Source organism: Homo sapiens, chromosome 12 (genome assembly GCF_000001405.40).
Source record: "Homo sapiens chromosome 12, GRCh38.p14 Primary Assembly".
In the NCBI taxonomy this organism is placed as follows: Eukaryota; Metazoa; Chordata; class Mammalia; order Primates; family Hominidae; genus Homo; species Homo sapiens.
Genome location: NC_000012.12, coordinates 27,986,281 through 28,013,591, shown reverse-complemented (window position 1 = coordinate 28,013,591; position 27,311 = coordinate 27,986,281). Strand labels below are relative to the sequence as shown.

Here is a 27,311-nt window from a genome sequence, read left to right as displayed (position 1 = left end):
TAAATATTATAAACCCTGACCTCCCTCTCTTACATGAACTCATCAACATCTGCATTGTAGATTCTCTAATCTTCTAATTTAATTTGTTATTCTCTAATCTAACCCAGAACATTAAAATGGAACCTTTTGCCTTTAGATGCATAAATAAAAAGCTTTCAACTACCCAGAGAGAAGAAAATTTTTCCATACTCCCTGGGGACTGAAAAATTGGGAGAATGATACTCTGATGATAGGCCCTCTTCTTGTTCTTCACAAATCATTATATAATTACAAGAAAGATCATTGGATTTAGTAAAAGGCCATTTTCAACCTGCTCAGTGGTCTTGCAAAAGGCCAGAATGTGAAGGTCTGGTACTCAGATTAAAATGTGAGCCAATCTATCTAAAATAAAAATCATAAGCCCTGCTAGGGGAGACCTTTTTTTGTCCTCCTTGTGATTCCATATAGAGAACCCTCAGTGGACACCATTCCCAACAGCTTCCCTGCTTACCCACACTTCTGCTCCCAAACCCTGCAAGCTTCTCCTGTTGGATCTGCTGCCTACAGAGAGGATCTGTTCTGCTCTTCATTGTGCATTGGCTAAGTGGGGCAGGTCCCCCTACCCTGGCAGCCTGCAGGCTTCCAAACTGCCCACCGCACTTGGGGCTAGGCAGCCACCTGTCTCATTCAGGGGTGGGAGCAAGCCCATTTAGCCACATATCCGAAGCCACATTCTCCTACCAGCTTATCAGGAGTAAGGCTGGCATTTGTCTCATCTCTCAGTCTCCTTTGTCGTGTTTTGTTTAAGCAGAGAAAGAGAGAAAAGAGTGGGGGAGAAAAAAGGACTAACTAAGAGAGGTCATTCCGTTATTCCATTCAGAATTACTAAGCATTTCCAGAAACCCCAGACTGGGTGGTAGTTGCTCTGTCTCTGACTTTGGTGGCCTTATCTTACCACTTCACACAGAAACATCCTCCTTATAAGTCCGTTTTCCTGACTAGACTGTAGGACCTTAAAGACATGAACTATGTATCATCAACATTTGTATCCCCAAAAGTTAGAGGATACAAATGGCCCCTTATGTAGCCAGGGCCAGCTTCATGGGCATGTGACCCACACCGCCAGACATGTGGGGCTCCACCTTTGGTTTAATGCTCTGCTGCCACCATCTTGACTTTCTTAATAATTTCTTCCCCACCTTTTAAGAAACAAGAGACAACAAAGAGCATTTGCAATTCCCACACAAGCAGTAATCATGAAAACTAGATCTCTTGAAAGATTTCCCACAGGGAAGTAAAAATGCCTGCCTACTATTCCACACTCCACATTTTTATCTTGCAACAGGCCTTGCAAATTATGTGTCCAGTCCTGGCTGTAGTAGGCCCTCAGTATTAAAATAAAATTGCATGTTAGGATAAATGACAACAGAGTTCAAGGCCTGACTCCTGGCTCTGCCACTTGCTATGTGACCTTGGCAAAGTTATTTAAGCCCTGAAGCCTCAGTCTCTTCATCTCTAAAATTGGAATAATAGTAAAAATAATAGTTATAATGAAAAATTAAATTAGAAACTCCAGGTTAGGTGCTTGCTACAATTCCATCCATGTTGTCGCAATTACGCTAAATGAAATTAGCCAAAGACAAACAAATACCACCTGTTCTCACTTATGTATGGAATCTAAAACAATCAACCCACACAAGCAGAGAACAGAATGGTAGTTTCCAGATGCTGAGGGTGGAGAGAATGGGAGATTATACCCAAAGGGTATAAAGCCTTTAGCTAGGAGGAATAAGTTCAATTTTTTTGAGAACTATTGCACAGCATAGTGAATATAACTAATAATTGGGCACTGTCTATTTCAATAACACTAAGAGTAAATCTCAAATCTCATCACAAAAAAATGTCAAGTACTTGAGGTCATGGAAAGGTTAATTAGTTTGATTTAATCACTTCACATTGCATTCAAAAATTATAACATCACTTATATATACAATTATATATATAATTGATATAAATTGTATATACAACTATAGTTTGTCAACATATAATTAAAGTGCTTGCTACAATACCTGACACATAATAAAGTCTTAACAAATATTCAATACTTCACTTATTACTACTGCTACCAGTGCTAATACCATTGCTGCTACGGCTAATATAAAACTCAACTGGATTCCAAGGAGAAGACGTTGACATGGTCATGTCTTCTGGAATGTTCTGTGCTTTTGTTGATTTTAGCTCCCAAACTTTCTTCCGCTAGCTCTTAAAAGACCTCTGAGGGAAGTTATTGTTTCACCTTTTAAGAAACGAGACAACAAAGAGCATCTGTAATTCCCACACAAGCAGTAATCATGAAAACTAGATCTCTTGAAAGATTTCTCACAGGAAAGTAAAAATGCCTGCCTACTATTCTGCACTCCTCTGTCCCATCCCACAAGTGAACATTTACGTTCTCTCTCCTTTATCTCATCTAAAGAAAAACGAAGAAGGAGGCTTTAACAGCCCCCGATGCTGTTACAGAGTGGGGGAACATGGCTTCCCTTGGGGAGATGGTAGAAATGAGCAAATGGCCCTGGGAGGCAATGCACACCCCCATTATTTAGGGACAACTCTTTTCTTGGTAATTGGGTCTCTTTTTTTTTTTTCCTAGCTCCTTTTTAAAATTTCAATATATTTAACTTGCAGAGAAGTCATGTCATTTGAGGTAAGTTTTCTGAGAATGTTCTCATTTTATCACCTCCCTGCAGATTCCCTTGTACTCCTCTGAGCTGCTGGGAAAGTTCTGAATCTATTTTCTCTTGACTAATTGGGTCAGACAGACTCCTAGCATGACGAGAAGCGAGGTTTTTCCAGAGGTGGTGGGTTAAAGATCTTGATTCTGCAACCGGTGAGCTTTTCATTATTTCTCCTCTCAGTTTTAGAAGAGGAGAGGATGTCAAATATATATGATGCAAACCTTTTTGAAGCTAACAGTTAAGTAACTTTTGTGTTTGTGTCTCGCCTCATCAAATCTTGGTTCTTAAATATATTCTGTCCTTAATCTAGACTTAGTTTACCTGCATTTCTCTCTATCCCCATAACTTCCAGCCACCCACAATGGTTAGACAAATGACAGAATCTTTTCTTATTGGATCAGCAAAGGGCACCAACCTATTTCACCTGAATTTAGTCCCTATGATCTCTAGTTCCTTCCTTTTAAGAAATCTACCAGAGTCCACATCTTTTTATACAGGTTAGATTTTACTCTCTTCTCTTTCTGATAACTCCTAGAGCAAGGTAGCAAGAGTAACAGGGCACACTAATCCCGTGTAGAAAGATGGTATCTGCTCATGACTATCACTTCTCTAGGTTACTAGAAACAGGGAATTCTTAAATTCGCTGACCCTACATTTCTCAACAATCAGCACCATCTGTTTTTCAGGTTCCATCCATTCCTTGACTACATGAGGAAGTCTGTGTCTTAAAATTTTTAGATTATCTGAATCTAGTAAGAATTTAATTATAATTAATTATAATGTACAATTGAAAATATTTTCAAATTCTTTCTGTGACTTTAGTACCTTCCTAAATAAAATAAATTTAAGGATGATGGTAAGACTATTGTCTAAGTACCATTAAAAATAGACATGGAAGTCACTGGGAACCCAAAATATTCTTTGGATGTTGGAATCTCTGTCCACAAAATCCGCTGTGTAAGAGATGTAACTTCCTTTGTTTTTCTATAATTGAACTTAATTTCTTTTTTTTTTTTTTTGAGATAGGGTCTCACTCTGTTGCCCAAGCTGGAGTGCAGTGGTGAGATCTCAGCTCACTGCAGCCTCGACCTCCCAGGCTGAAGTGCTCCTCCCACCTCAGCCTCCTGAGTAGCCGGGACTACAGGCACGAACAACCACGCCTAGCTAATTTTTGTATTTTGTAGAGACAAGGTTTCGCCATATTGCCCGAGCTGGTCTCAAACTCCTGAGCTCAAGCGATCTGCCTGCCTCAGGCTCCCCAAGTGCTGGGATTACAGGTATGAGCCAACATATCCAGCCAGAACTTAATTTTTATTATATAAGTCCTCATGCTTCAGGTAGAAGAAACTTAAGCCCAGTCAATTTATCCCTGCCACCCTCCCTCTCCCTGGAGTTGTGTATAATTTCCAGAAGAGTTTATGTGGTGCCAGAGCCTGAGAGGTATGTCCTCTTAGAGTCGTCACCTATCCATGGTGACATGTATTCAGCTGTCTTGCTTCTGTCTCGTCTCTGACCCCATGTCAATATAGGTCACTGTCCACCACAGGCTCTCCATGTCTGCGTATTTATCTGTCCGTTTACCTGCCTGTCTGTCTCTCTCTCTGTTTTTTATCTGTACTTTTCTCTCTCTTCTGGCACATGGGATCCTTTTGCTTCTCTTACAAAAGAAAGGGAAACCCAAATGAGACGATCAACAGGCCATCTGGGTGTACAGGAGTGATTATAAGGCTCCAGGACATGTGGAAATTCTGTGAGGTCATCTCAAGTCCATCAGCGTGGACATACTTCATAGAGCCTTCTACTTGCCCACTCCTTAAGTTCCTCCTGAGAAAGGGGACCCAGGCCTTCATTGCTCTCAAATCTTCAAATCCAAAGCCAGCTTGGATTTCAGTTATCCCCTACTCTGAACCTGAGAGAGGGAGAGACAGAGAGACAGAGAGAGAGAGAGAGAGAGAGAGAGAGAAGCATGAACCCTTCTTCCTCCAGGATCACATTGTTTGTTCACCTCCTGCTTCCCCTTAAATGCTCCCCACTCCCTGGTTTAGGGGATCTTTGCTTGCGTATGTACTTGTGCACTTGTATGCATCACTGGAGGCACTTAGTTGTGTTCATTTAGGGGCAGGGTGGGGTGGGAAGATGCCACAGGAAGCCATCATAAGGTTTCTACCAAGTCTGTTTCCTCTGAATGAGGCTTTCTTTCCCCACAGAGGGCCTGGGATTTTGAAACTCAAAAGCCAGCAAAAGAGCCTTGGTCCTCTCGGTTTGTCATCCGTCCCTTGAAGCAGTTATTATAGAGCACCCAGGAATGTCCTGAATGGAGGTACAAATCTCCAGAGCTGTGCTCTTCACAGCTCTAGCTATCAGCCATGCAAGGCTGCTGAGTGCTTGGCATATGGCTTGTCTGAATTGAGATGTGAAAGATACATACCAGATTTCAAAGACTGTAAAAGAAAAAAAAAAGGTAAAATATCCTAAATCATTTTTTATGTTAAGGCCATGTTGAAATAATAATATTTGGGGCATATTAAGTTAAACAAACTATATTATTAAAATTAATTCTACTTGTTTCTTTTTATTTTTAATGTGACTATTAGAAAGTTTTTTTATTAATACATTTATAGTACTTTAATCTTTATACATCTTATTTTCTGTTACCATCCAGAATTCTTAAGTAACCAACCTATTTTAAAAAAAAAAAGGGAGGGGGAGGAGCCAAGATGGCCGAATAGGAACAGCTCCCGTCTACAGCTCCCAGCGTGAGCAACGCAGAAGACGGGTGATTTCTGCATTTCCATCTGAGGAACGCAGTTCCTCACCAGCAATGGAACAAAGCTGGACGGAGAATGACTTTGACGAGCTGAGAGAAGAAGGCTTCGGACGATCAAATTACTCCAAGCTACGGGAGGAAATTCAAACCAAAGGCAAAGAAGTTGAAAACTTTAAAAAAAAATTAGAAGAATATATAACTAGAATAACCAATACAGAGAAGTGCTTAAAGGAGCTGATGGAGCTGAAAACCAAGGCTCGAGAACTACGTGAAGAATGCAGAAGCCTCAGGAGCCGATGAGATCAACGGGAAGAAAGGGTATCAGCAATGGAAGATGAAATGAATGAAATGAAGCGAGAAGGGAAGTTTAGAGAAAAAAGAATAAAAAGAAATGAGCAAAGCCTCCAAGAAACACGGGACTATGTGAAAAGACCAAATCTAAGTCTGATTGGTGTACCTGAAAGTGACGGGGAGAATGGAACCAAGTTGGAAAACACTCTGCAGGATATTATCCAGGAGAACTTCCCCAATCTAGCAAGGCAGGCCAACATTCAGATTCAGGAAATACAGAGAACGCCACAAAGATACTCCTCGAGAAGAGCAACTCCAAGACACATAATTGTCAGATTCACCAAAGTTGAAATGAAGGAAAAAATGTTAAGGGCAGCCAGAGAGAAAGGTCGGGTTACCCTCAAAGGGAAGCCCATCAGACTAACAGCAGATCTCTCAGCAGAAACTCTACAAGCCAGAAGAGAGTGGGGGCCAATATTCAACATTCTTAAAGAAAAGAATTTTCAACCCAGAATTTCATATCCAGCCAAACTAAGCTTCATAAGTGAAGGAGAAATAAAATATTTTACAGACAAGCAAATGCTGAGAGATTTTGTCACCACCAGGCCTGCCTTAAAAGAGCTCCTGAAGGAAGCGCTAAACATGGAAAGGAACAACCAGTACCAGCCGCTGCAAAATCATGCCAAAATGTAAAGACCATCGAAACTAGGAATAAACTGCATCAACTAATGAGCAAAATAACCAGCTAACATCATAATGACAGGATCAAATTCACACATAACAATATTAACTTTAAATGTAAATGGACTAAATGCTCCAATTAAAAGACACAGACTGGCAAATTGAATAAAGAGTCAAGACCCATCAGTGTGCTGTATTCAGGAAACCCATCTCACGTGCAGAGACACACATAGGCTCAAAATAAAAGGATGGAGGAAGATCTACCAAGCAAATGGAAAACAAAAAAAAGGCAGGGGTTTCAATCCTAGTCTCTGATAAAACAGACTTTAAACCAACAAAGATCAAAAGAGACAAAGAAGGCCATTACTTACTGGTAAAGGGATCAATTCAACAAGAAGAGCTAACTATCCTAAATATATATGCACCCAATACAGGAGCACCCAGATTCATAAAGCAAGTCCTGAGTGACCTACAAAGAGACTTAGACTCCCATACAATAATAATGGGAGAGTTTAACACCCCACTGTCAACATTAGACAGATCAACGAGACAGAAAGTCAACAAGGATACCCAAGAATTGAACTCAGCTCTGCACCAAGCGGACCTAATAGACTTCTACAGAACTCTCCACCCCGAATCAACAGAATATACATTTTTTCAGCACCACACCACACCTATTCCAAAATTGACCACATACTTGGAAGTAAAGCTCTCCTCAGCAAATGTAAAAGAACAGAAATTATAACAAACTATCTCTCAGACCACAGTGCAATCAAACTAGAACTCAGGATTAAGAATCTCACTCAAAACTGCTCAACTACATGGAAACTGAACAACCTGCTCCTGAATGACTACTAGGTACATAACAAAATGAAGGCAGAAATAAAGATGTTCTTTGAAACCAATGAGAACAAAGACACAACATACCAGAATCTCTGGGACGTATTCAAAGCAGTGTGTAGAGGGAAATTTATAGCACTAAATGCCCACAAGAGAAAGCAGGAAAGATCCAAAATTGACACCCTAACATCACAATTAAAAGAACTAGAAAAGCAACAGCAAACACATTCAAAAGCTAGCAGAAGGCAAGAAATAACTAAAATCAGAGCAGAACTGAAGGAAATAGAGACACAAAAAAACCCTTCAAAAAATTAACGAATCCAGGAGCTAGTTTTTTGAAAGGATCAACAAAATTGATAGACCACTAGCAAGACTAATAAAGAAAAAAAGAGAGAAGAATCAAGTAGACGCAATAAAAAATGATAAAGGGGCTATCACTACCGATCCTACAGAAATACAAACTACCATCAGAGAATACTACAAACAACTCTATGCAAATAAACTAGAAAATCTAGAAGAAATGGATAAATTCCTCGACACATATACTCTCCCAAGACTAAACCAGGAAGAAGTTGAATCTCTGAATAGACCAGTAACAGGAGCTGAAATTGTGGCAATAATCAATAGCTTACCAACCAAAAAGAGTCCAGGACCGGATGGATTCACAGCCGAATTCTACCAGAGGTACAAGGAGGAACTGGTACCATTCCTTCTGAAACTATTCCAATCAATAGAAAACGAGGGAATCCTCCCTAACTCATTTTATGAGGCCAGCATCATCCTGATACCAAAGCCAGGCAGAGACACAACAAAAAAAGAGAATTTTAGACCAATATCCTTGATGAACATTGATGCAAAAATCCTCAATAAAGTACTGGCAAACCGAATCCAGCAGCACATCAAAAAGTTTATCCACCATGATCAAGTGGGCTTCATCCCTGGGATGCAAGGCTGGTTCAATATACACAAATCAATAAATGTAATCCAGCATATAAACAGAACCAAAGACAAAAACCACATGATTATCTCAACAGATGCAGAAAAGGCCTTTGACAAAATTCAACAACCCTTCATGCTAGAAACTCTCAATAAATTAGGTATTGATGGGATGTAGCTCAAAATAATAAGAGCTATCTATGACAAACCCACAGCCAATATCATACTGAATGGGCAAAAACTGGAAGCATTCCCTTTGAAAACTGGCACAAGACAGGGATGTCCTCTCTCACCGCTCCTATTCAACATAGTGTTGGAAGTTCTGGCCAGGGCAATCAGGCAGGAGAAGGAAATAAAGGGTATTCAATTAGGAAAAAAGGAAGTCAAATTGTCCCTGTTTGCAGACGACATGATTATATATCTAGAAAACCCCACTGTCTCAACCCAAAATCTCCTTAAGCTGATAAGCAACTTCAGCAAAGTCTCAGGATACAAAATCAATGTACAAAAATCACAAGCATTCTTATACACCAACAACAGACAAACAGAGAGCCAAACCATGACTGAACTCCCATTCACAATTGCTTCAAAGAGAATAAAATACCTAGGAGTCCAACTTACAAGGGATGTGAAGGACCTCTTCAAGGAGAACTACAAACCACTGCTCAAGGAAATAAAAGAGGATACAAACAAATGGAAGAACATTCCATGCTCATGGGTAGGAAGAATCAATATCGTGAAAATGGCCATACTGCCCAAGGTAATTTACAGATTCAATGCCATCGCCATCAAGCTACCAATGACTTTCTTCACAGTATTGGAAAAAACTACTTTAAAGTTCATATGGAACCAAAAAAGAGCCTGCATCGCCAAGTCAATCCTAAGCCAAAAGAGCAAAGCTGGAAGCATCACACTACCTGACTTCAAACTATACTACAAGGCTACAGTAACCAAAACATCATGGTACTGGTACCAAAACAGAGATATAGATCAATGGGACAGAACAGAGCCCTCAGAAATAACGCTGCATATCTACAACTATCTGATCTTTGACAAACCTGACAAAAACAAGCAATGGGGAAAGGATTCCCTATTTAATAAATGGTGCTGGGAAAACTGGCTAGCCATATGTAGAAAGCTGAAACTGGATCCCTTCCTTACACCTTATACAAAAATTAATTCAAGATGGATTAAAGACTTACACGTTAGACCTAAAACCATAAAAACCCTAGAAGAAAACCTAGGCATTACCATTCAGGACATAGGCATGGGCAAGGACTTCATGTCTAAAACACCAAAAGCAATGGCCACAAAAGCCAAAATTGACAAATGGGATCTAATTCAACTAAAGAGCTTCTGCACAGCGAAAGAAACTACCATCAGAGTGAACAGGCAACCTACAAAATGGGAGAAAGTTTTTGCAACCTACTCATCTGACAAAGGGCTAATAACCAGAATCTACAATGAACTCAAACAAATTTACAAGAAAAAAACAAACAACCTCATCAAAAACTGGGCAAAGGACATGAACAGACACTTCTCAAAAGAAGACATTTATGCAGCCAAAAAACACATGAAAAAATGCTCACCATCACTGGCCATCAGAGAAATGCAAATCAAAACCGCAATGAGATATCATCTCACACCAGTTAGAATGGCAATCATTAAAAAGTCAGGAAACAACAGGTGCTGGAGAGGATGTGGAGAAATAGGAACACTTTTACACTGTTGGTGGGACTGTAAACTAGTTCAACCATTGTGGAAGTCAGTGTGGCGATTCCTCAGGGATCTAGAACTAGAAATACCATTTAACCCAGCCATCCCATTACTGGGTATATACCCATTACTGGGTATATACCCAAAGGACTATAAATCATGCTGCTATAAAGACACATGCACACGTATGTTTATTGCAGCATTATTCACAATAGCAAAGACTTGGAACCAACCCAAATGTCCAACAATGATAGACTGGATTAAGAAAATGTGGCACATATACACCATGGAATACTATGCAGCCATAAAAAATGATGAGTTCATGTCCTTTGTAGGGACATGGATGAAATTGGAAATCATCATTCTCAGTAAACTATCGCAAGAACAAAAAACCAAACACCGCATATTCTCACTCATAGGTGGGAATTGAACAATGAGAACACATGGACACAGGAAGGGGAACATCACATTCTGGGGACTGTTGTGGGGTGGGGGTAGGGGGGAGGGATAGCATTGGGAGATATACCTAATGCTAGATGACGAGTTAGTGGGTACAGCACACCAGCATGGCACATGTATATATATATATGTAACTAACCTGCACATTGTGCACATGTACCCTAAAACTTAAAGTATAATAATAATAAATAAATAAATAAAATAAAATAAGTAAATTTTAAAAAAAAGAAAGAGAATACACAATTTTTTACAGTTTATCAATACAGTGCCCCTCACCCTAACAGGCTAACTTACTGTAAACCACTGAATACAGGGTAAAGAAAATGTTTAGTCATGGGTCTATGCTGACATACAATCGATTTTTAAATTTGCATTATTTTTAAGTGAGACTACTGAAAGCTAAGAAATTAACAATAAAATGGGTCATTGGTAGAAGTAAATCAAATCCTCCCTGAAACTTCACAGGATTCCCACAGCTAAAGGTATGCTGAAAAGAAGCTCACAATCCCCAAATTCTGAAACAGTGTAAGCAAAAGTCAGCAGAATTAGACAATTAAGAATTTCAACAAGTAATCCTATCAGATGATACTATGAAATAAGTATATTTGAAATAATTAATAAAATATAATAAACAGTTAAAAACACCAAAAAAATCCTCAAAATAGAAGATTGGAGAGATTATGGGATGAAATAAAAGTAAAGATTGACTACTAGAAAATTTAAAATCACATCTGTGATTTGCATCTGTAGCTTACGTTATATTTCTATTGGACAGTGCTATTCTAGCGGAATAAGTAATGGGAACCAAAAATAAATAAATATTTTAAAACTGTTATCACTCAACATTTGCATTATATCCTGCCCAAACCTGCTGTTTCTACAATTCAATAAAAGTCAGTAATTATTAACTGTGTGTTATATGCCACATCTCCACAAGAAACTGTGGGGATAAAGTTGAGTAATACATTATCCTTTCCATCAAGGAACTCAGTTCACAGCCTGGTAGGACATACTGGTGAGAACATAATTATCTATCAGAATGCAACAAGTTCAGGATGGGAGCACTGATTTTTTTTTTCTTTCTGAGTAGAAATGGGAAGAGCTAAGACAAGGGAAAAACCCTCTGGAGGAGTTGTGTGAGATATGTAGACCTTGGTAGAAAGAGGGCATTCCACATGGAGGGGACCACACACAAGAGTGGGTCTGCTCAAGAGATAGTGAAAAGCGTCATGTGGCTGAGAGTAAGCTGGATCAGGATAAAAGAGGCTGGAAATTTCGACAGGATCCAGATGAGGAAAGGCCTCGAATGCCAAGCTGCAGGGATTGACTTTGTCTTCTATGTGAATGGACACCCATCAAATACTTTCAAGCAGAAAACATGGTTCGACTGGAATTTTAGAAAGATAACTCTGGCAGAAAAACGGAGGCTAAACTAAAGTGGGGAGACTAGATTCTGGTGGCCTGGGGCATGAGGGATTGGGTGGTTATCAATAGATCCCTGTGACTTTGGGAGCAGCTGAGTCCATAACAGAGTTACTTGGTCTTGCCATTGCTCACACTTAAAAATAAAAAGACATTTTTTTCTGAAATCCTGGTTAGAACTTCTTTAGTCTCCTATTCAAGGCTAGCTTGACAACATTTTATTTCTGGTTGCTCAATAATCAATTGTTCAGGAAAAAAAAAAGCTTTTGTCTATTCTTAGAGAGCACTCAATCCACTTACGGCTTGAACTGGTTATAGGCAGTTAACTCTTAATTTTGCTAAATTCCTTTTTCAGGATTGATATGAAACAGCTCTGAATAAGGGTGAGTTGTACATGAAACTTATTCCTCAACATCCTCTCTGCAGGTGAACCAGTGTCAGAGGTGTCTGAACCAGAGCAACTCCATCTTGAATAGGAGCTGGGTAAAATGAGGCTGAGACCTACTGGGCTGCATTCCCAGGTGGTGAAGGCATTCTAAATCATAGATGAGATAGGAGGTCAGCACAAGATACAGGTCATAAAGACCTTGCTGATAAAACAGGCTGCAGTAAAGAAGCCAGCCAAAGCCTACCAAAACCAACATGGCCACGAGAGTGTCCTCTGTCCTCACTGCTACACTCCCACCAGTACCATGACAGTTTACAAATGCCACGGCAAGATCCGGAAGTACCCTATATGGTCTAAAAAGGGGAGGTATTAATAATCCACCCCTTGTTCAGCAAAAGAAATAACCATAAAATGAGCAACCAGCAGCCCTCAGGCTGCCCTGTGGAGTAGCGATTCTTTTATTCCTCTACTTTCCTAATGAACTTGCCTTTGCTTTGCACTGTGGACTCATCCTGAATTCTTTCTTGGAGTATGAGCCCTCTCTTGGGGTATGGATCGAACACCTTTCCTGTAACACAAGTATATGTGTTCTCTCTTACTTGGCCTAAAAGTGGTCCAATCAGCTCATCCCCACTGCCCTCCACCCACGAGTCTCAGTTCTGCCCAACACAAGGCACAATGCAGGAGCGAATGTCAGCCTTACTCTAACGCACAGAACGACAGCACCCGATCAATCCAGCTAGAGGAGGAAAGACAGCCTGAAAACATTATTTAATCATCTCAATTCACATCTTTGCCTGTGTTTCCAGGTCCTATTATAAGCTTATGGATAAATCTGAAAGAATATAGCAAGCCCTTAAACAAAAATAGGATCCTTTCTGAATATGTCGCTTTACTGGTTGGATAGATATGTATTCATTCTCTGAAGTTAACTGAAAGCACTAACAACAGCAGTAGAAAAAAAAAAAAAAACCTGTCTGAAGCAGCATTCAGAAATCAGTAAAAATAGAATTGGACTGTTCCATTGTGAGATGCCTTAGTTCTCCTGAAAGTGAATAACATAAATAACGATGGACCAGTTTTCTGCTGTGTCTCCCTACCGCTATGAACAACATGGCGGCTTCAGCAGATGAAAGAGATTATGTGATAGCTGCTCAGAGTTTGGATTTTTTTTCCAGTAAATATTTCTGAGAATCTTAGAGTATGAGTCAAGAGATTCTTGAGGATAACCCTCGGATACAGATAAGTCTGAGAATTACACTTGTAGTGCTCAAACCTGTGTTTAAAAGTGGTATTGCTCTAATTGCCTGCATGCAGCTGGTCAGAGGGGCAGAAGGTTTGACCTCCTGGCTCTTGGCCTTAAAAAAAATTAAGAAAATAATTTAGAACAAAGCTGAGAAGATGGTATTGGTAAATAGTAAGTGATCGCAAGGGTTAAATATTTAAAATTGGTGTTACCCAAATCCAAAAAAGCGCTCTCATAGTTGCACGTGTGGGGGCAATCACTCATCATCACAACCTATGTTTGCCTCACCTCTCCTCTGAAAGAGAGATGCAAGCTATTCTGAAAGCAAATAAATACCCTGACATATTTTTGGAGGTGGCATGTAAATCAAGAACAAACTTGTTCAAGTTGACCTAGACTTAAGAACTTTTGCAATTTTGTGGTGTGACTAAGCCACTAAATGCTCAATTTTTACACAATACCATAGAGTCTAACTTGGAGCAGTGCAACTGTAGTAATTTGCCAAAATGGTCAGGTTTGTTAGCAACAGTATAGGCTTCTAATGTGAATCAGAAAGGAACAATTAGGGATAGGCAAAGCCAACAGGTTTTAAGACAAACATCTTGGCTGATTCTAAGAAAACAGTTTTGCTTTCCTCTTTTGTTTTAAATGGAAAACAATTTATTAATCAAAGGAAATTTACTTAATAGTTCTGACTAAGTCTAAATCTTGATATATTTTAGGTAGCCAAGACATTTTTAGAGATGTTATTGAAGTAAATAATGATATATTTTTACTTTAAAAACCTGATAGTTTAAATTCTGGGGAAAATTCAGAGTCCAAATTTGGGCTATTAACAATAATACAGATTCTGAACATGTGGCCATAAAGAACCTTCTTTTCTTCTCTACTGAAGACACATTTGCAATTATCATAGATTCTCTTACTATATTCACACAACATAAAATGAAGTGCTATCACACACAAAACCCTTAATGTCAACCAAAATTCTACTTCTTGATAGGATGCATTTGAAAATCATTCTATATTTTTGTTGCAGAATCTCCCAAATCTTTTGTAGGCATATAGTTTGCATATCTTCAGGATTAAAAACACTTCAAGCTTTATAATCTCTGTAGATCATTGTTTTTTTAGGGCATACCATGCTGGTTTCATAAACCTGATCAAATCTTTGCCTTCAGGCAGACATCTGCAGTTGTTGGCCTCCAGGTGCTTGAGAGTCCTGGTACTTCAAGACCCTCCCCCTAAGGAAGAGAAAAAAAAAAGAACCTCCAGGAAATCTGCAGGTGCAAGTGTGTTTGAGGGGAACTTAATGAATGATGGATTGCCCTTCTTTTATGTTGTGTATTCAAATAGGCAGTGTGTGTTTGCTCTGATGTAGTTCTGACCTTAAGTACACAGAAAATGAGCTCAGAGCTTTTTCTTGGTACTTCTGATGGAGTTTCTCTTTCTTGTTGCCAAAACATCCACCTTTAAGAGTACTGACTGAGGTACTGAGAAAATGAGTTTTCTAGAAGAAAATAGCTAAAAAAATCTCAGTAAAGGACCATTGATACTAGCGAGATAAATATATGGATACTGTATTAGTCCATTTTCACACTGCTATAAAGAACTACCAAAGACTGGGTAATTTCTTAAGAAAAGAGGTTTAATTAATTCACAGTTCCACAACCTTAACAGGAAGCCTGACTGGGAGGCCTCAGGAAACTTACAATCGTGGCAGAAGGGGAAGTCAGCATATCTTACCATGGCAGAGCAGGAGAAAGAGAGTGAGCGGGAAGTGCCACCCTTTTAAACCATCAGATCTCATGAGAACTCACTCACTATCATGAGAACAGGATGAGGGAAATCTGTCCTCATGATACAATCACCTCCCACCCCTGACATGTGGGGATTACAATTCAACATGAAATTTGGGTGAGAACACAGCCAAACCATATCAGATACCATTGTCTTCATCACTTGGACATTTGCCTATGACCGAGTGTTTTGATTCAGAAGCAGAAGATAATTTGAGATAAATGGCTTATGCCCAAGACTCCTAGAAGACCAAAGCCACTCATGGTCCCATGCTTCTTTGAAATTTTGTATTCTTTTTTTTTTTTTTTCTTGAGACAGAGTCTTGCTCTGCGACCCAGGCTGGAGTGCCATGGTGCAATCTCGGCTCACTGCAACCTCCACCTCCCAGGTTCAAGCGATTCTCCTCCTCAGCCTCCCGAGTAGCTGGGACTACAGGTGCCTGCCACCTTACCCAGCTAATTTTTTTTTTTTGTATTTTTAGTAGAGATGGGGTTTCACCATGTTGGCCAGGCTGGTCTTGAACTCCTGACCTCAAATGATCCACCAACCTCGGCCTCCCAAAGTGCTAGGATTCTAGAAATGAGCCACCATGCCTGGTCTGAAAGTTTTTATTCTTTATCCTCTTTGTTATTTTCTTTGTTCTCTGATGGTTCAAAATAGTAGACACTCATATCCTTTAATCATGGTATACTTAATATCCTTACCCCTAACAATTATCAGAAATGGAATTCATTCTCCAGACACAGACCAAGTTGAACTACATATATTAAATCAAAAGAAGAGGCCATTTGACTATCTAAGGAAGGTTTAAGTAGCTTAAGGGACATATGGGTTATGTTTCACTTAGATTATACACACACACACACACACACACACACACACACATATCACACATCTTATAGATAATGTCTGGCATATAGTAAATTGTTGTTGCCATCAAAAGTACATGAAGAGTTTGGGAGTAAGAATCAGTCACTTCGGGAAAATTCTCTTGGTGAAGAAAAAAATAATCCTAAAAAAGCAAAGACTGAATGGAGCAAAAGAGGGTAGATGTCTCCCTCTTGGACATTATCTGGGCTACGCAATGTTCCCACCACAGGTACATGTGGTAAATGCTCTTCCTTGGCCCCTTAAAAATCATTTCCAATCCCCTTCTCACTGGACACCTCCCACTGTGGAGTCTGGAGAAGGAGAGCTGTCTACTCATGTCCCCAGACTTTCTTGCCTGTAGTGTAAAATGCCAAGTGCTGGCCAAGGAAAAACAAAAAGTATTCTGAGTGAGCTCCTGAGAGAGACTTTTCTTTCTAGATAAAGAGAAGAGCCCTTGACTCTTCATCTTGCCTTGCATGTGAATGTGATGCCTGAAGCTGTGTCAGTGTTACGCAAACATGGAGTTATAAGCATGAGGAAGAAAGCAAGCGTGTGAGGATGGTGAAAGATAAAGGGAGAAATAACCTGGATCCTTGAGGGCTCTGCAGAGCTACTGAACCGATGCCAGCAAACACCTAACTCAAGATTCTTGTAATGAGAGGCAAAAATAGCACCTATTGTTTAATCTACTGTTAATCAGATTTTGTTGTTTGTTGTTGCTTGCCCCAAAAATACATCTATCAGATATGGTATGTTATTCACAGGCTTTTATTTATATGCATATGGAGAAGTCACATCAATGCTTGCTTTGTGTCCCATCAGTTTTGATCATGAGTCCCTCACACTCTGGAGCTGCACAAAATTGGATACTTACCAGCGGCACCTGGAGATCTTGTAAGGAATAGTGATTCCTGGAACTAATACCCAGAAATATTGCTTCAGTAGATCAGAAGTGCAATCTGATGTGGTGTCATGGTTTGAGAGCTACCTCAAGATCCACTTTCACTCATAAGCCAAGTGAAATATATTCTATTTCTGTGAAAGATTGTCTTTCTAAAAGAAGTCCTCAACCCATAGCTATTATCCAAGAAATTCAATCAAGAAAGGAACACACATTTTAGGACTTTGTTTTTCAATCTAAAACTACCAAAACAGATTCTGAGGTTGGAATACAGGAATTCGCATTTTAAATAACCACCCCCAACAGACTCTGAGCCCTTTCCTCCAGATGATTGTACAGACTGCCATTCACTCTTTCAAGAGTACTGGTGGATCAACCAACATATACCAGGCACTGTTCAAGGTACTGGGCTTCCAGCTGTGAACAAGCTAGACCAGGCCTTTACCCTCGTGTGGCCTATATGGGAGGTGAGAGGCAAGATACACAAATTAAAAAGTAAAGTAATAAATCAATAGGAATTCCGGATCATAAGGTCTATAAAGACAACAAAACATGATATGATGTTTTAATAGAGAATGCATTGCTTGGGATGGGATAGAATAAAGCAGTCAGAGAAGTCACCACTAAATAGATGGCATCTAGGCTCAATTCTGAAAGAAAGGAGAGGGCCCTTTTGCCATGAACTAGGAGAAAAGCCTCACAAGGAACCACAAGGCAAAGGCCTTAAGCAGGAATGAGCTGGCACACTTCAGGTACAGAGAGAAGGCCAGTTTACAATGAGAAGAGATGAGTTCAGATTAGAGATTCAGATATTCTTGGCCAGAATAAGAAGTTTGAAAGAAACTCTATTTTTAGCGGAAGCTAGCAAAAGATTTTAAACAAGAAGGAAGAGGAGGGAAAGGTAGGTGTGTGTCTATGGGCATGTTGTGGGAGGGTGTATTAGTCAGGGCTGTGCAGAGAAATGGAACCAATAGAGGAGGGAGAGACAGAGATAGAGACAGAGACAGACAGAAGCAAGAGAGAGAGAGATTTATTTTAAGGAATTGATGACACAATTGTGGGAGCTGGTAAGTCTGAAATTTATGGAAGAGCTGAGTTGCAGTCCTGAGTCAAAAATCTGCAGGATGAAAACTCAGGAAGGGTTTCTATGTTGCAGTCTTGAGGCAGGATTGCTTCTTTTTTCAGGAAATCTCCATTTTTGCTCGTAAGCCTGTAACTAATTGGATGAGGCCCATCGTATTGTGGAGGGCGGTTTGCTTTACTCCATGGCTACTGATGTAGATGTTAACCAGATCTAAGGATACCTTCACAGCAACATTCTGGCTGGTGTTTGACCAAACAACTGGGCACCATAGTTTAAGCAAGTTGACCCAGAAAATTAACTATCACACTATCACAGTGTGTGTGTGAAAGTGTGTGTGGGTGTGTGTATTTGAAGTGATCCTCCTCTCAATACCCATCCATCCATTCATAACTTTGGATGTATAGGGAAGCAGGCATGACCTAATTCCTGACTGGCTCACCTACCATGAAGGCTCCACCTGTCCTTTGCTGGAAGATGTCCCCCTTGGTCTGTCACCCTGGCTGCTTTTCACCCCTCTACACAGGCTGCATTTCTTTTCAACTACCCTGTCCAATTGCTCCAATCTGTCTTCCTGCTTGACTTCCTGCCTGTATTGGCTCACTGACAGTTTGAGGAAGACTTTTTCATTTAAACCTTAACTTTTAAAAACATTTTTCTCTTCACGATGGGTCAATGAAACTATGATCCTTTGGGATGGAGCTTTCTCTATGCCATAAAATAGTTAATATGATATTGGGTTCAATCATCTATAAGCCATGCAGAAGATTGTGTCAATCAAGAATGGGTCAATTAAGCAATTAAATGTATTTTTCTCTAATCCCTTGCTAGTCAAATTGTGATTCATGGACTGGTAGCGTCCGGATCATCTAAGAAGTAATTAAAAATACAAAATTTAAAACCTAGTTCAGACTTCCTAAATCAGAATCATATTTTTATAAGCTCCCCAGGTGGTTCATATGTACATTAAATCTTGAAAAGAACTGCCTTATGCTGGTGGTCGTCAACCTTAGTTGCACATGGCAATCACCTTCAAGGTTTAAAAACACTGATGCCTGAGTCCCAACTTCAGAGATTCTATTTCATTGAGGGGTTTGGGAGGAGAACACCAGGTATTAGAATATTTATAAGCTCACCAAGCATTAAGACATGATTCTTAAGCATTAGTGTGCAAAACCTCATCTGGAAAGTTTGCACGATTGCTTATTCTTGAGCCCTCTTCAAGGATTGATTCAGGAGGCCTAGAATGGGTTTCAGGAACCTGTACATTTTTAACCAGCACATGCAGTAGATTTTGGTGTAGGTGGCCCAAAGGCCACACTTTGAGAAACACTGCGTTAAGGAACTGTTGAAGGAAAAAAGAAAGAAACACTATGAGAAAAGGATGCCAATTAATTTAGTTGTTGATTGATGTCCATCTCTAGGTAAATCTACTTAGTAACTGTACAGCTTCTGGAAACGTAGAACAATGTCAATTTCTGACGATCATCTTCTGGATCAGAGATAAACTCCTGTCAGAAATAATGCTGCCTGCCAAGATCCTATGAAACATCCTGTACTCTTAAAGGGGCCAAGGTCATGAATAAGCCTGTACCAAGGAAATCTTACAAGTTGGAAGAAATTCCCTTCCAGGACAGAGAAGGAATTCTACTTCTAAGCCACATACTTTCTAATAATTGACAACTAAATCAAGAAAGCCCTTATAGTTCGGGAGAGTCTAAAAAACCATAGGGTAGCCATAGCAGTTGCAATCACCTTTCTCCTCTCTGGTTAGCCAGCTCTTCTGAACTCCTCAAGGTCCCACTTTTTCCAGGAAGATTTTGTGAAACACTCACACCTCCAAGATCTTTCTCTTCTCCAAACTCCAACTGGGCTCTGAGCCTGCTTATTACTGATTCATTACTATTTCATTCCCTGCTAATAGTCTTCTATATGCTAGCTTCATTTCTCTAAATAAACTGTTCAGCCGCCTTAAGACAAGAATGACGTCCATCTAGTACAGTGTTTTCATTTCCCACAGTGTCTAAAACATTGCTGGATACACAATAGAAGCTTAGCAAATAGTTGTTTGATTAAATAATGGCAATAAATACATTATACTGTCTTTCTGAATAGTTTCGTCAATTACAACGAGTGATCCTTAAAAAGGCAAAGGCACAGCCATCGCCAGAAGATTCTGAAGTATAAGCTTTCCATCAGTATTAAACAGTATTAAAATAGCAATAATAATAGAAACCAAGTAGTTTTATTGTACCTTACTGTTTTCAAAAATGTCAGGGGAATTATACCATCACTGCATCACCTATCACAACCTTATAAAAAAGGCAGGGAAAAGTTTGGGGTTTTTTCTTATTATTGTGATAAAAACACTTCACATGAGATCTACCCTCTTGGCAAATTTTTAAGTGCACAATACAGTCTTGCGAACTATAGGCACCAAGTTTTACAGAAGATCTCTAAACGTATTCATCTTGCATAAATTAAACTATATACCTGCTGAACAACTCTCCATTTTTCTTTCCCTCCCAGTCCCTGGCAATCACCATTCTACTCTCTGTTTCTATGAATTTAACTATTTTAGATACCTTGCACAAGAGGAAACATGCAGTATTTGTCTGATTGTGGCTGGCTTTGTTTTTAAGGGATCTCACTATGTTTTCCAGGCTGGTCTTGAAACCGTGGGGCTCAAGCCATCCTCCCGCCTCGGCCTCCCAAAGTGCCGGTATCACAGGTGTGAGTCACCACATCCAGCCAGTAACTGGCTTATTGCATGTAGCTTAACATCCTCCAGGTTCATTAATGTTGTCACATATGGCAGGTTTTTCTTCTTCTTAAGGCTGAGTAGTATCCATTTTGTATGTATACCACATTTTCTTTATTCATTCATCCATCAGTGGACATTTAGGTTGTTTCCACATCTTGGCTATTGTGAATAACGCTGCAATGAACATGGGGGTGCAGATATCTCTTTGAGATCCTGATTTCAGCTGAACATAGTGTCTCACGCCTGTAATCCCAGCACTTTGGGAGGCCAAGGGGAGAGGATTGCTTGAGCCCAGGAGTTCAATTCAGCCCGGGAAACATAATGAGACCTCATCTCCACAAAAACAGTTTTAAAAGTTAGCTGGGTGTGGTGGTGAGTGCCTGTGTCCCCAGTTACTCAGGAGTCTGAAGCAAGAGGATCCCTTGAACCCAGGAGTTCAAGGCTTCAGTGAGCTCTGATTGTGCCACTGCACTACACAGCCTGGGTGACAGAGTGAAATCCCATCTCAAAAAAAAAAAATTAAAAATAAAGAGATCCTTATTATAATTATTTTGCATGTATACCCAGAAATGGAATTCCTGGATCACATGGTAGTCCTATTTATAATTTTTTTGAGGAAACTATATACAGTTTTCCATTGAGGCTGAACCCATTTTACATTCCCATCAATATTGCACAAGAGTTCCAATTTCTCCATGTCTTCACCAACATTTGTTATCTTTTTTATTTTTATAATAGCTATCCTAACAGGTGTGAGGTGATATCTCACTGGTTTTGGTTTGCATTTACCTGATGATGAGTGCCGCTGAGTGCCCTGACATATGTTTCTTGGCCACTTGTTTGTCTTCTGCGGAGAAATGTCTGTTCAAATCCACTGCCCATTATTAACACGGGGTTATTTGTGGTTTGCTATTGAATTGTAGGAGGTCCTTATATGTTAGGGATATTAACCCCTTATCAGATGTATAGTTTGAAAATATTTTTCTCCCATTCTGTAGGTTGCCTTTTCACTCTTTTGATTGTTTCCTTTGCAATGCAGATGATTTTTAGTTTGATACAGTGCCATTTGTCTGTTTTTGCTTTTGTTGCTTGTGTTTTTTGGTGTCATACCAAAGAAATATTGCTGAGCCCAATGTCATGAAGCTTTTCTCCTACATTTTCTTCTAGGAGTTATTCAGTAGTTTTAGGTCTCACACTTTAATATTTAATTCCATTTTAGTTGATTTTTGTATATGGTGTTTTTTGTGTATTGTGTAAGGGACCAATTTCATTCTTTTGCACATGGATATCAAGTTTTCCCAACAACATTTATTGAAGATACTACCCTTTCCGCATCATGTATTCTTGGAACCCTTGTCAAAGATCAGTTGACTGTGTATGCATGGGTTTATTTCTGAGCTCCCTAATCTGTTTGATTGGTATACATATCTTTCTTTATGCTGGTACCATAATGTTTTAATTACCATAGCTTTGTGATATGTTTTACAATCAGGAATTGTGATGCCTCCAGCTTTGTTCTCCTTTCTTAAGATTGCTTTGGCTACTCAGGATCTTTTGTGGTTTTATATGAAATTTAGGGTTGTTTTTCTATTTCTGTAAAAAGGTACCATTGGGATTTTGATAGGGACTGTATTAAATCTGTAGATCACTTTGGGTATGAACATTTTAACGACATTAAGCCTTCCAATTCATGTACATGAGATGTCTTTCCACTTATTTGTGTTTAATTTCTCTCATCAGTATCTTCTAGCTCAGTGTACAGGTTTTTAACCTCCTTAGTTAAGTTTATTGCTAAATATTTTACTATTTTTGATGCTATTGCAAATGGGATTTTTAAAAATTTTCTTTTCAGTTTGTTGTCAGTGTATAGAAACACCACTGATTTTTGTATATTGGTTTTGTATCTTGAAGCTTTGCTAAATGTGTTTATTAGTTCTAAAAGGGTTGTTTTGTGGAGTCTTTTTCTATATGTAAGATCATGTCCTCTGCAAACATATAATTTTACAGCTTTTGTTCTGATTTGGATGCCTTTCATTTATTTTTCCTGCCTAATTGCTCTGGCTGGGGGTTCCAGTTGCATGTTGAATAGGAGTTGCAAGAGTAGGCATCCTTGCCTAGTTCCTGATCTTAGAGGAAAAGCTTTCAGTTTTTCATCCTTCAGTATAATGCTAGCTGTGAGTTTTCACGTATGGCCTTTATTATGTTGAGATAAATTTCTTCTATACTTAGTTTGTTGAAAAAGGGTTTTTTTTTTTTTAGACATCATCTCGCCCTGTCACCCAGGCTGGAGTTCAGTGGAGCGATCTTGGCTCACTGCAGCCTCTGCCTCCTAGGTTCAAGCAATTCTCCTGCCTCAACCTCCTGAGTAGCTGGGATTACAGGCACGCACCACCACACCTGGCTAATTTTTTTTTATTATTTTTAGTAGAAACAGGGTTTCACCATGTTGGCCAGGCTGGTCTTGAACTTCTGACCTCAAGTGATCTGCCCGCCTCAGCCTCCCAAAATGCTGGAATTACAGGCATGAGACACTGTGCCCAACCAAAAATTTTTATCATGAAAAGATTTTGAATTAAAAGATTTTTTCCTCTCAATTTGCAGTTGATGAAATTTGAACTCTCTCAGTGCCTCTTTACACATCAAAATAAAACCAAAACTTTAGTGCTCTTTTCACTACCCACAGTAGCTGGGTTACTGAATGTTTAAGGAGAAAGAAAGAGAGCAAAATTTTCAATCTATAACCAGAGAGAATCCATCATAAACAAAGTGAATCAAGGGGAAACAACTTTGCATAGCATAGATTTTTGCAACTGGGAAACTATAGGGGAAGGCATACCAGTCAGTCACTCTACCTTGAGAGAAAGTGATTGTGATTGAGAAAACAGCCAAAATACTTTTCAGCTCCTCCATCAAGAGGTGGAGTCTATTTCCTTACCTCTTGAATCTGGGCTGGTCATATGACTTATGGAGACCAACAGAATGTAGAGGAAGTTACAGCATGAGAGTTCTGCACCGGGGCCTTAACAGACCTGATAGCTTTCAAACTGTTGGATGGTGAGAGACATGTGGCCCAGTCACCTCCATCTTCCCAGCAAACAGTGAGACAACCACCAGACACATCCTCATTCACACAGAGTCCACAGCTAAGTCACCAGCTGACCACAGGCACATGAGTGAGCCTAGCTACTTGTGCGTCTGCTTAGATCAGCAGAGGCACCAAACTGACTTGTAGTTCATGAGCAATTATAAGTGGTTGTAGTATTAAGCCCTTATTTTTTGGATGCTTTGTCTACTGCGAAAGCTAACTGATGCAATAAGTGATTCTGGAAGCAAAACAATCAGGTAGATCGTAAAGCTAAGATGCAATTTACAAATAACAACAGCCATTGCAAGTAGCAGCAACACTAAAGAACAAAAAGACACTGTGTATGGCATAGAGACTGCTAATCGCATCAGCTTTTTATATCATAGGCTCAGAGTTAGTGGCTGCTATCAACAGTATACTTTAAAAAGAATAAAATGTACATAATACATTTTATGTACAGTGGCTTGTTTTTTGAAAGTACTAACAGAAAAAAAATCACAAAGCTATAGCAGCATCAACCACTTGATTTATTGATAACAAAAACCTTGTGATTCACTCCTTCTCCCAGCACAGCCTTTGTAGAGAGCTAAGCTGGTAATGAGTATATGAGCCAGCTCTTCTGCCTTATTGAAGTGACTGGATTTAGCTCTTTCAAGTTTAGATATAACCCTTTGCCTATATCCATTTCCCATCACAGTGGAACTTCACTTAACAGATTTTACACTTATAAAATAAGAATTATGGTTTGAAGGCCAAGAGGAGAAAAGAACAAAGAGAAAAGGAAGAAATTGTTATGTCAACACTCGCTCAATTAGTGAAGACTGGCATGCTCGAGCATGTGCCTTCCAACCTTTCTTCCAAACCTCAAACCACCTCAAATTCTCTTGCTAGAGGGTAGAAGAAAGGGTCAGGAAATGCATGAAGGATACAGTCCACATCCATACCAAATCCTACAATGACTGTTTTAGAAAATAATCACACAGTGTGAGCATTTCATTAAAAAGGAGCTGAGGTATCTAATTAAGTATATATTTTTTAGAACCTTAGAAAATATATTTACAAAGAAAATCTCAGTTTAAAGGCAGATCCCTTCTAAGTTCCCAAGAGTATCATTGAACCAATCCAGTCCTTGGTATGCTGGAGTCCATGGATTATCTGAGACTAAAGCAACCACAGAATCTTCCACTCCCCACGCCTAATGGTTCCATATGGCCCTTGGAATACAGAAATTCCTAAGCCTGAAACCCTGCCACCGTCTGGCTCCAGCAGACCTTTCCTACAATTCCCATTAGTGTGTCACACTCCTTTCTTATCCTCAAACATAGGCAATGTTTTTCTGACTTCATGCCAATTTTTCCACAAAAAATATTTTCCCTACTCATCTCTACTAGTTAAAAATGGCACCTAACCTTTGAAGCCCATGTCATATGTTATTTCTTTATTCAAGTGTGCCTACCTTTCTACAATTTGAGATAGTCTCATGTCATGAATCTCATCTCCCCACCACAGAAATTACAAATCATATCCTCAGATTCCTTCACAGCTAGGAAGCTGTCATGTGACTGAATCTAGTCAATCAGGAGTAGCCACTTGAGATACTGATTCAAAAAAGAGCGACGGAGAGTTGACTATGCTCAGAGGAAAGAATCTCCTGGCAAGGATGGCATAAGAAGCATTTGGTTGTCAGGCATGGTGGCTCACGCCTGTAATCCCAGCACTCTGGGAGGCCAAGGCGGGTGGATCGCTTGTAAGGTCAGGAGTTCAAGACCAGCTTGGCTAACATGGTGAAACCCCATCTCTACTAAAAATACAAAAAATTAGCCAGGCTTGGTGGCAGGCACGTATAATCACAGCTACTCGGGAGGCTGAGGCAGGAGAATTGCTTGAACCCAGGAGGTGGAAGTTGCAGTGAGCCAATATTGCGCCATTGCACTCCAGCCTGGCCAAAAAGAGTGAAACTCCATCTCACAAAAAAAAAAAAAGGAAGCATCTGGTTTTTGCTTGACAATGGGGTCTGAGCTTCTAGTCACCATCTTTCATTGAATCTAAGATGTTATCAACTATAGATGCAGCATTATTTCACATACCGCTAAAATAATTTTGTAATGATGCCAATGGAGCTATGATGCAATGTGGATTTTTTTTTGTTTGGTTGGTTTTTTTTTTTTGTTTGAGACAAAGTCTTGCTCTGACACCCAGGCTGGAGTGCAGTGACACAATCATAGCTCATTGTAGCCTCGACCTCTTGGGCTCAAGGGATCCTCTCACCTCAGCTTCTTGAGCCGCGGGGACTACAAGCACGTGCCACCAAACTAGGCTAATTTTAAATTTTTTTTTGTAGAGATGGAGTCCTGCTGTGCTGCCTAGGCTGGTCTCAAACTACTAGGCTCAAGCAATCCTGCCTCGGCCTCCCAAAGTGCTGAGATTACAGGCATGAGCAACCACACTTGACCCAGTATGTTCTTATAACTTGAAATTTTTATGTTTTTACTCATGGGAAAACTCTGTTAAACATATAGACATAAGTTTTCATCATAAAATGTATTGGTTAAGTTATTCACATTCGGAGTCTGGCTTTTCTGAATGACCTTCAGACTCAGAATCAATCGTGTCCATGTTTACATATGCAATATCATCCGTTGGGCCGAGGCAGTTAGTGATATAGCATTTCTTAAGAGTGCTCCACTATAATCTTTAGGAGTTTCTTCCAAGCCACTAGAGCCAATTCTATGAGTTTTGGTGCATGTGAATAGGCAATTACAACTCCCTTGTGACTGCCACTTGGCCAACAGCAATTGTGAGGTGCGGCGTAATTTTAGAGAGGTTAATAGGTTAGGGGGGGAAAAACGGTGTCCTAGAAAAAAAATGAAATATGCTCTGTCTTCCCTGGTGACTCCAAGTTTGTGGGTCACTTTCATTGCTATGATATGGCATAGTCTATCCAATGAAAAAAGCAGTTAGTAGTGCCTTAAAGACTATGAAATTGAGGAAAAACCTCAACTCCTAGCCCACTGTCTTACAGTTTTTACCGGCCTAACACACAAGACTATAATACATATTCAAAGTACTTTACTCAGGCATTGCAACAAGCATTATCAGAGAGGAGGATTAAAAAACATAATTTTGACTAATTTGGACTTTCACTGTGTCACAGTAGGGAAGGCATTTTAAAATGCAGATTTCTGCATACATCAACCTTCTCAAGCCTCCCAGACCAACCAACTCCAAGTCTTTCTCCAGAAAAACATCACTAGTTCCATGGGATAAAGTGTGATATTTGGATAAAGTGTGATAGTTAGAATTCTCCAACTCAAGGCGTATCCTAGACTTCAATTAGGTCACCTTTGACA

General features: G+C 39.7%; 1 annotated feature.

Annotated features, from left to right (window-relative positions):
• Positions 13,330-13,530: a silencer, noted in NCBI's record as "peak1634 fragment used in MPRA reporter construct". NCBI's record gives its function as "represses an SCP1 promoter by STARR-seq MPRAs in K562 erythroleukemia cells {active_cell/tissue: K562}" and the evidence as "EXISTENCE:reporter gene assay evidence [ECO:0000049][PMID:32103011]".